Source organism: Homo sapiens, chromosome 2 (assembly GCF_000001405.40).
Source record: "Homo sapiens chromosome 2, GRCh38.p14 Primary Assembly".
In the NCBI taxonomy this organism is placed as follows: Eukaryota; Metazoa; Chordata; class Mammalia; order Primates; family Hominidae; genus Homo; species Homo sapiens.
The window spans coordinates 207451065-207462008 of NC_000002.12; the positions used below are offsets into that span (position 1 = coordinate 207451065).

Genomic DNA, 10944 nt, shown 5'->3' on the forward strand with positions numbered 1-10944 from the left:
TCACAGGAACGTCTCAGTCTACTGAAACCTCTCTTACTGAACCCCTGCTAACCATATGGTCAGTCCCTCTGTCCACATTTTTTTTTCTTGTTGGCATGATTTTCGCTGAGGATAATGTGGAAATTCATGTACCTTTTTGGGAAACTTGAGACCTCCCCAAACTAGCTCCTGTAAGACTTCTTTCCATTTGCTTCTGTTCCTCCTTCCTCCCTTTGGCACTTACAATCTGCCATCCAGTTCTCTCGAATCCTTGATTTATTCTCCTTCAAATCCTTACCTCCTCCATTTAGTGGTCAGTGGATGAAAAATTACTAACAGGAAACACCAAAGGTAAGAAAAATTTCAGTCTCTATAGTCAAACTTTAGGTGGGCTTCTGGACCTTCTCCTAGGACTATCCATGTACATCCTTGTAGAATCCTGTAGTGAATTCCTATAATTTTATGTCGCCTCAGAATCCTTTTGAGTCCTCCTCTATGTGTCACCTAACTGACACACCTCAAACTCCTTCTTGGAAAAACTTGCATTCTTTCTCTGTGCCTTTGAGATATAAATTTTCTACCCTTTCTTCTCTAGAATTTGATCATTACCATTTGGAAATACTGTTGTCCTTTGATATCCACAGGAGATTGGTTCTAGTACCTCCCACAAATACCAAAATCTATGGATGCTCAAGTCCCTGATATAAAATAAGATAGTAGTTTCATATAACCTATGCACATCTTCCCATATTCTTAAAATCATCTCTAGATTACTTATAATACCTAATATAATGTAAATGCTATGTAAGTAGTTGTTATACTATATTGTTTAGGGAAAAATGACAAGAAAAATGTCTGTCCATGTTCAGTAGAGATGCGTGCTCTTTAAAACAATATTTTCAATTCCTGATTGGTTGAATCCACAGAAGCAGAATCCATAGATACAGAAGAGATGACTGTCAGGGAGATGACTGTCATCAAAAAGAAAAAAACTGAACTGTTTAGAAATTGGTCAAATAAAAAATCTTAAAAGCCTTTTCCACAAAAAAACTAGTAAAAAAGCTTTAGCCAGGCCAACTGTGGTGGCTCACACCTGTAATCCCAGCACTTTGGGAGGCCAGGGCGGGCCAATCATGAGGTCAGGAGATCGAGACCATCCTGGCTAACACAGTGAAACCCCGTCTCTACTAAAAATACAAAAAATTGGCCGGGCGTGGTGGCACACGCCTGTAGACCGAGCTACTAGGGAGGCTGAGGCAGGAGAATCGCTTGAACCTGGGAGGCGGAGGTTGCAGTGAGCCGAGATTGCACCACTGCACTCCAGCCTGGGTGACAGAGCTAGACGCCAACTCAAAAAAAAAAAAAAAAAGCTTTAGCCATCTGAGCAGATAATCTTAACTTGTATCATTTATCAGGTCTAGCTAGTGAGTCTTGAATTATCAGACTTGGTGCAAGGCTAAAAGTGTTAGAGTAAAAGATGTAAGATCTGCTTCTATCTGTATGTTTATGTCATTAAATATAATACAGACATATATTTTTGCCTGCGTTTGCTGGCCAGACAGGTGTATTGTCTCTGCTAGATGGTTAAGGTCATAAAATTATAAACGCAACCTTCAAACAGAATACACAGTAAAAATGAATTCCTGAATTGCTTGATGCACATCAGTCACGGAGAAAAAAAAGAGGAAAGAACCATGTTTAACTTTCTTGTTTCTTTGCTTCTATGATATTTTGCTTGCCTGATTTGTCAACAACAAAAACAACTTGAGACAGAGGTTAGCTTTGTTTGATGTCTCATAAAATTGTCATGAACAGTTCACATAAAATTGTTAAGAATGAGTGAGTTACTGGCTGGGCGTGGTGGCTCACGCCTGTAATCCCAGCACTTTGGGAGGCCGAGGCTAGCGGATCACAAGGGCAGGAGATCGAGACCATCCTGGCTAACATGGTGAAACCCCGTCTCTACTAAAAATACAAAAAATTAGCTGGGCATGGTGGTGGGCACCTGTAGTCCCAGCTATGCGGGAGGCTGAGGCAGGAGAATGATGTGAACCCGGGAGGCAGAGGTTGCAGGGAGCCAAGATTGCACCACTGCACTCCAGCCTGGATGACAGAGCAAGATTCCGTCTCAAAAAAAAAAAATCAAAAAATAAAATAAAAGCACTTAGTTATTTTAAAAAAAAAAAAAAGAATGAGTGAGTTACCAAATGAACTAAATAAGGTGAACTACATAAGGTGCTGGGACCAATCCTGGAGAAACAGATATGTGACCTTTCCGACACAGCATTCAAAATAGCTGCTTTGAGGAAACTCAAAGAAATTCAAGATAACACAGAGAATGAATTCATAATTCTATCAGATAAACTTAACAAAGAGATTGACATAATTTAAAAGAACCAAGCAGAAATTCTAGAGTTGAAAAATGCAATTGACATACTGAAGAAAGCATCAGAGTATCTTACCAACAGAAATGATCAAATAAAAGAAAGAATTAGTAAGCTTGAAGACAGCCTACACGAAAATGCACAGAGGAGACAAAAGACAAAAATAATAAAAAAGAATGAAGCATGCCTACAAGATCTAGAAAATAGCCTCAAAAGGGCAAATCTAAGAGTAACACGCCACAAGCACACACAACCAAAGCAAAAATGGACAAATGGGACCACATCAACTTAAATAGCTTCTGCACAGCAAAGAAAACACTCAACAAAGTGAAGAAACAGCCAACAAAATGGGATAAAATATTTGCAAACTACCCATCTGACAATGGATTGATAACTAGGATATATAAGGAGCTCAAACAGCTATATAGGCAAAAATTTAACAATCCAATTAAGAAATGGGCAAGGCTGGGCATGGTGGCTCACATCTGTAATCACAGCACTTTGGGAGGCCAAGGCAGGTGGATCGCTTGAGCCCAGGAGTGTGAGACCAGCCTGGGCAACAAAGTGAGACCTAGTCTCTAAAAAAAAATAAAAAAAGAATAGCCAAGCATGGGGGCACACTCCTGTGGTCCCAGTTACACGGAAGGCTGAGACAGAAGGATCACTTGAGTCTGGGAGGTCAAGACTATAGTGAGCTGTGTTTGTGCCACTACACACCAGCCTGGGTGACAGAGTGAGACCCTGTCTCAAAAACTAAATGAATACGTATTTTTAATTGGCCAAAAAAAAAAATTTTTTTTTTGAGATGTAGTTTCGTTCTTGTTGCCCAGGCTGGAGTGCAATGGCACCATTTCAACTCACTGCAACCTCCACCTCCTGGGTTCAAGAGGTTCTCCTGCCTCAGCCTCCCAAGTAGCTGGGATTACAGGCATGTGCCACCATGCCTGGCTAATTTTGTATTTTCAGTAGAGACAGGGCTTCCCACATTGGTCAGGCTGGTCTCAAACTCCCGACCTCAGGTGATCCGCCCGCCTTGACCTCCCAAAGTGCTGGAATTACAGGGGTGAGCCACTGCGCCTGGCCGGGAAAAAAAATTTGAATGGACATTTCCCAGAAGAAGACATACAAATGGCAAACAGGCATATGAAAATGGCTCAACATCATGGATCATCAGGAATATGCAAATCAAAATTACAATTAGATGTCATCTCACTCCAGTTAAAGTGGCTTTTATCCAAAAGACAGGCAACAACAAATGCTGGAGAGGATTTGGGGAAAAGGGAGCCCTTGTATGCTGTTGGTGGGAATATAAATTAGTACAACCACTATGGAAAACAGTTTGGAGGTTTCTCACAAAAGTAAAAATAAAGCTACCATACAATCAGGCAATCCCACTGCTAGGTATATACCCAAAAGGAAGGAAATCAGGATATGTAAGAGATATCTGGGCCGGGCGCGGTGGCTCACGCCTGTAATCCTAGCACTTCGGGAGGCCGAGACGGGCGGATCACGAGGTCAGGAGATCGAGACCATCTTGGCTAACACGGTGAAACCCCGTTTCTACTAAAAATACAAAAAATTAGCCAGGCGTGTTGGCGGGCGCCTGTAGTCCCAGCTACTTGGGAGGCTGAGGCAGGAGAATGGCATGAACCTGGGAGGCGGAGCTTGCAGTGAGCCGAGATCGCGCCACTGCACTCCAACCTGGGAGACACAGCGAGACTCCATCTCAAAAAAAAAAAAAAAGAGATATCTGCACTCCCATGTTTATTGCAGCACTGTTCACAATAGCTAAGATTTGGAAGCAACCTAAGTGTCCCTCAACAGATGAATGGATAAAGAAAATGTAGTACATTTACATGATAGAGTACTATTCAGCCATAAAAAAGAATGAAATCCCGTTATCTGCAACAACATGGATGGAATTGGGACTCATTGTATTAAGTGAAATAAGCCAGGCACAGAAAGACAAACTCATGTTCTCGCTTATTTGTGGGAGCTAAAAATTAAAATGATTGGCCAGGTGTGGTGGCTCACGCCTGTAATCTCAGCACTTTGGGAGGCTGAGGCAGGTGGATCACAAGGTCAGGAGATCGAGACCATCCTGGTTAACACGGTGAAACCCCGTCTGTACTAAAAATGCAAAAAATTAGCTGGGCGTGGTGGCAGGCACCTGTAGTCCCAGCTACTCCGGAGGCTGAGGCAGGAGAATGGTGTGAACCCAGGAGGCGGAGGTTGCAGTGAGCCGAGATTGTGCCACTGCACTCCAGCCTGGGCAACAGAGCGAGAGTCTGTCCCCAAAAAAAAAAAAAAAAAAATTAAAACGATTGTTGAACTCATGGAGATAGAGAGTACAAGGATGATTACCAGAGGTTGGGAAGGGGGCTTGTAGGGAAGTGGGAAGAGTTAATGGGTACAAAAAAAGTTAGAAAAAATTAGTAAGACCTAGTATTTGATAACAGGGTGACTGTAGTCAATAATAATTTAATTGTACATTTTTAAATAACTAAAAGCATAATTGGATTGTAACATAAAGGATAAATGCTTCAGGGGAAAGCTATCCCATTTTACATGATGTAATTATTATGGATTGCATGCCTATATCAAAGTATCTAATGTATCCCATAAATATAGACACCTACATACCCACAAAAATTAAAACTTGAAACTTAAAAAAAAGAATGAGTGAATTAGATGAATATAAGTAGGATAATAGTTTATAAGCAAAGTTTTTCAATAACAATTATGTTTTAGAAAATATGTCTAGTTAAAAATAGTTTTAAAATCTTTTTGGTAACTTGAAACCTTAAAATGAAATTAAGTAATAGATACTTATTAAATATCTGGGTCACTTCTAAGTAAGTTAAAAATATTGAAACACTAATTACTAGGCACAAGTTTATGTACTTTGGCATCTTGTTTTTATATAGTACAGAGAAGCTAAATAGATTGAAGTTGGTTAAAAACATGAAAAATTGCTTCTAGAAATTATGAAATGATGAATGCTGTTATAAAAGAGTTTATAATGCTTGCTAGTTTTCACTAGAAATTAAGGTTACTGGCCAGGCATGGTGGCTCACGCCTGTAATCCCAGCACTTGGGGAGGCCAAGGCCGGCTGATCACGAGGTCAGGAGTTTGAGACCAGCCTAGCCAACATACTAAAACCCCGTCTCTACTAAAAATACAAAAATTAACCGGGCATGGTGGCGCGTGCCTGTAGTCCTAGCTACTTGGGAGGCTGAGGCAGGAGAATCACTTGAACCTGGGAGGCGGAGGTTGCAGCGAGCTGAGATCACGCCACTGCACACCAGCCCAGGCGACAGTGCAAGACTCAGTCTCAAAAAAAAAAAAAAAAAAAAGAAAAAAAGAAATAAGGTTACTAAGAGTTAAACGTTATAATTAACATATGTAATTAAACTGCCAGAAAATATGAGGGAAAACTTTCTTTGCTTAGAAATAAGATGCATTTGATAAGGAAAGTTATGTAAATGACACATTTTTGTTTTTTAAAAAGGCTGAATTTTTTTTAAGTTTTAAATGATTTATGGAAATGTTATCTTTTGTGATCAAAACTAAGATTGGATGAATTTATTAAAAGATTTTATTTAAAATTAGCTTTAGTATTAATAGTACGCTAATGCAAAAGTGGAATTTGGTCTTCTCTGTTAAAGTAACAAAGTTTTCTAGAAGTATTGGTCTGAGAATGTGAAGGTTTTTTTTTTCTCCTTTTCAGTAACTGACCTAGAAAACAAAGATTTTGTGTTTTATCAAGATCATTTTTGGGCTTCATGCTGTATTTTATTAGGTCTTTGATTACATTTTATTCACAACTATGCAACCTTTTGTATTTGCCTTTAAAATCTTTTGTTGTCGGCCAGGTGCAGTGGCTCACCTGTAATCCCAGTGCTTTGGGAGGACAAGGCAGGAGGACTGCTTTAGCCCAGGAGTTCAAGACCAGCCTGGGAAATACTGCAAAACTCCATCTCTACAAAAATAAAAATAAAAATAAATGAGCCAGGTGCAGTGGCGCATGCCTGCAGTCCCAGCTACTCAGAAGGCCAAGGTGAGAGGATTGCTTTAAGCCAGGAGTTTGAGGCTGCAGTGAGCTATGCTTGTGCCACTACACTCCAGCCTGGGTGACAGAGTGAGACCCTGTCTCTAAAAAAATGTTAAAAAAAATAGAAAATTGTTTTTCTATTTAAAACTGTCACTTTAATTAGATAGCCAATATCATATTTAATTTTTTTAAACCTTTTGACATTTTGACATACTTCCCAAAATCAAATTCTAAATTAAGTCTTTTTGACCTTGAACTTACTTTGAGATTTACCAGTTAGGCCTCTTGAAAGCTACAAAATATGTGTTTTTCTCACCTTGTAAAAGAAAGATATTAAAATAATTGGGCTTACATATATTTGATGCATTAAATTATATAGTAAGTGTGGTCAAATAATGAGTAATGCTAAACCTAGAGTTATACTTAGGAGCGTATTATTGATATGAAAATGTGAGATTTTTAAAAGTCTAATGTTATCAGTAACAATTCTGGCAATTATGTTAAAATGTTGTATCCACAGAAATAACTAAATTTCCTTGTCAACTGCTGACTATAATGAACTCTCATCAGATTTTTAACCATGGCCATATTAAGTCTTTGTCATCTACAGGCCATTACTGTTTTGATTTTTGTCTAAAAGTATTGGCAATCAGCGATAGTCCAAAACTGCTTTTCTTCGAAAAGATTCATAGAAAAGACTTTGACAAATACCCTTGAATACAGGTTTCTAATAACCATAAGATCATACCATTGGACTGTGTGAGAATTTTCAGAACTCTAATGAAGAAATGAATGGCTTCATGAAACTGCCAAGCAAGATCAAGCAGATCAAGAATTAATTACGTGAAACTGAACTGATGAAGGTAATGTTTTCATGACTTTTAATTTGAAATTTTTAAATTTGAAATTTGGTTCTTATTGTAAATGTTTCCTTTTACAGATTTAAAGAAACTATTTCTCTTAAGCTTTCTAGAGCTTGCAGAGATCTGGTAGCATATACTTTTGTGAACAGAATTGGAACAATTACTTTTTCTTCCTACCTGATCCTGCTAGGACTCAGAAACTATTTGTGAGTATTCTTATTTTTATGGCAATATAATTATTTATACTAGTTTAATAAAAATCTGTTCTCCTTGTAACAGGGCACAATTGGAAATACTGGTTATGTTACCTTACCAAGGCTTTGACTGGAATATTCTATTTTCAAATATGACAGACAACTTTAAAGAACTAAGGTTGACTTTATGGAGCCAATAAAGCCCGCGCTTGGATAAACTGGCCTGGTACTTTGAAAGCATCGTTCATATGGTTGCCTTAGAGGTAGGTAAAGAATGTCACCTCCTGGCAGGACCAGGAACCTCAGGATATTTTGGGGACCTAAAGCAGAGAGGAATTCAGCAAAATCTAGAAGTACTTCAGGTGAATTTTTTTTTTCTTTTTTTTTTTTGAGACGAAGTCTCGCTCTTCTCCCCCAGGCTGGAGTGCAATGGCACAGTCTCGGCTCACTGCAAGCTCCGCCTCCCAGGTTCAAGCAATTCTCCTGCCTCAGCCTCCCGAGTAGCTGGGATTACAGGCGCCCGCCACCACGCCCAGCTAATTTTTGTATTTTTAGTAGAGACGGGGTTTCACCATGTTGGCCAGGCTGGTCTCAAACTCCTGACCTTGTGATCCGCCCGCCTCAGCCTCCCAAAGTGCTGAGATTACAGGCATGAGCCACCATGCCCAGCCACTTCAGGTGAATTTTAATGGTGAATCTTAAGCTTGGCCTCCTGGCCTCAAGAGGCTTTTCAATGTCTAATCTGAGATTCCTTATAAAACGTTCCAGCAAAGCAAATTTAAAGACAGCCTATGTGGCCAATCACTACTCTTGCTGAACTTGTATAAATAATCAGGTCAAGTTTAATGAAACTAAATTTATTTTGCAAACAAATTAGTTTTACTTTGATTATCTTTGATAGAGATGAAGGTGACTATAGAGAGAAAAATTTTGTTTCAGAAGAAAAGTATAGTGCACCCAGTATTAGATGCTAGCTCATTGTTTTTGAGAGTTTGTTATCCACCTGAAATCTGTGCTGGATCCTGAATTTCTCTAGTTTCTTCCAATATCTGGCTATGACTCACCAAACGAATATTTCCAATTTTTATCCCAGTCTTCTGGCTTGGAATCACTAAAAATTAAAGCACCCCTTTTTCTGAAGCCCTGCAAGGTGAAATTAGATGGCTTGATACAGACTTCAGAGAAATCACTACAACAGCTATGTAGAGATAACCTTCGGGCCTGCTGCTATATGGACTACTCAGAAAGCTCACTGGAACACCTGAAGCAAACTTTTGTAAACAAGGAAAATCTGTCAGATCATCACTGCCTGCCCCTGCTCCAGCTGGAAAGGCTTTAAGTCCAGCATCTAGAAATCTTGACTGGCTGCCCTCTAGAATTAAAAACTGAGTTTATAGTTTGTTCTAACCATTACACTTATTTTTGTTGTTATTATTGTTTCCATAGAAATGCCTCTTGTTACATATCTGATTGTTTGCACTGCATTAGTGCCTAACTTTAGTGGAAGCCCATTTGCAACACCTCTGCCTGAAGTGAGACAACTGCTAACTGTTTAACTCGACTGAGCTTAGGACTGAGAGGTCTGGTTCAATAGCTAATGAGAATCCACCAAACCAATTTCTGGATGTGAAACTTCTTGAGGAAGTTTCAGACAGGGGACTATCGGGGCTCAGAAAATGAAATCTCAAAGTATGGCACTTTGGCAAGCTGAGTACTTTGATCTAGAAAATATCAGAAAGCCTCGGAAGCATGATCTCTATGACCTTTTCCCCGCCCTCCTGTCTCTCACCTCTCTTTCTCCCCTGAAGTGAGGCATAGAAACCAAAATTTCTCTTCCCCAAGGCGGGCCATAGAAACTAGAACCCCTATCCCCCAAAGCAAGCCAAAAAACCTAGAAAGGTCATTCTCTCCCTTTGCCCTTCTTCCTTGAAGACCCTCATTCCAGAGGGGTCCTGTCCCACACCCAGGAGGAAAGAATGCTACACAGAGAGGCCAAGAAGACTCTGAACAGACAGGCCTTGCTGGGTTTTCCCCTGCAGTCTACTATCATTCAATCGTACCCTTTTTGTCCAACACATTTCTATATGGCTGTCCATTCTTCATCAAACATAAGCATACAAATAGATCATTTTTCCTGGGTCTTTGGTCTTCATTTCTGAGGCTCCTATGTAATGTAAAACTTTAAATAAATTTGTTACGCTTTAACCTGCCTCTTGTTGTAGGAGTGCAGGCCATGACTCTTATGAGGGGTAAGGAAGGGCATTCATTATACATTTCACCCCTACAAGCTTGAGGAATCAAAAGCAGTTAAGCAGATCTCAAAACTGACAGATTAATTGCCATTAATACATATTTTTATTCTTAAAGTTTCTTGTTAAATTACCCTAGAAGTTAAGAAAAACTTTACAATTATCCCAGTCATGAATTTGAATTGATTTAAAAAATAAACAAAAAACAATCAAACCAAAAAAAACACAAAAGACTGGAAATTGGGAGAAATTTCCATTTTAATCCATTTATAAAGAAGCAATGAAATGCTGATAATAGCAAGAGCGTTCAATATATCAACAAACCACAAATCAAACGAGAATAAAAACAAAATTCAAACTTGAGACAAGCAAGGTGAAGACAGATTAGATTTTAAACTGTTTTACAAATTCTCTCAAAATATGTTCATACTCGTCTCTAGCAGCCATGTCTTTAAACTCTTCATATGAAAAGTGCCTATTGTACATTAATTAGATGGAATATTTACAATTGCATGTATTTGTGAATAATATATAAAGTATTTGCATGTTATAAAATACTTCAAATATGATCTGGCCAAGTTGGGAATCACTTCTATTTTTTAGTCAAATGAATCCGGTTTTCCCACTCATTTCTGTTATAAATCAGAAATGCATTCCCAAAGAAAACAAAAAAGAAAGTTTCTGCCCCTCCCCCAAAATAATAATGGTAAGAACGTGGCCAGTTCTGTGGCCTTTCTGGAATTGTGGGCCCTAGTATATTGAGCTCCTCGGAAACTAAAAACATTTGCATTTTTAATGTGGAAAGGTATCAATGTGTACCTCTCCTTATGTGAGTAAATTTGTAACTTCCCACATCTGGTTTATGTAAAAGTAATACCTATAAAAAGTCACAAAAGGTAGACAACAAAATACATTAAAGACAGACCATTAACCCTCACACATATAGAATGAAATAACAGCATACTATGAACTCATATAATAACAGTATTCCAAAACTTTAAACTTCTCCTAATATTTGTGGTTCTTCTCCCATGAGAATAGTCCTAAAGCCCTTGGCCAGAGATGTGGGCACCCGGGGAATGAGACCAAGAGAGAGAATGAGCTAAAACTAAATTACACCTTCAGTTTTGCCACTAATATTCTCTAGGACTTGGTCAGTGGCTTATCCTCAGAGCATCTTAACTTACCCATGGGCAAAAGGACCTCAATGCCTTTCCTGC

The 10944-nt window shown here is 39.0% G+C and overlaps 1 annotated feature.

Annotated features, from left to right (window-relative positions):
• Nucleotides 9425-9474: an enhancer, noted in NCBI's record as "active region_17036". NCBI's record gives its function as "activates an Ori minimal core promoter by ATAC-STARR-seq in GM12878 lymphoblastoid cells {active_cell/tissue: GM12878}" and the evidence as "EXISTENCE:reporter gene assay evidence [ECO:0000049][PMID:35858748]".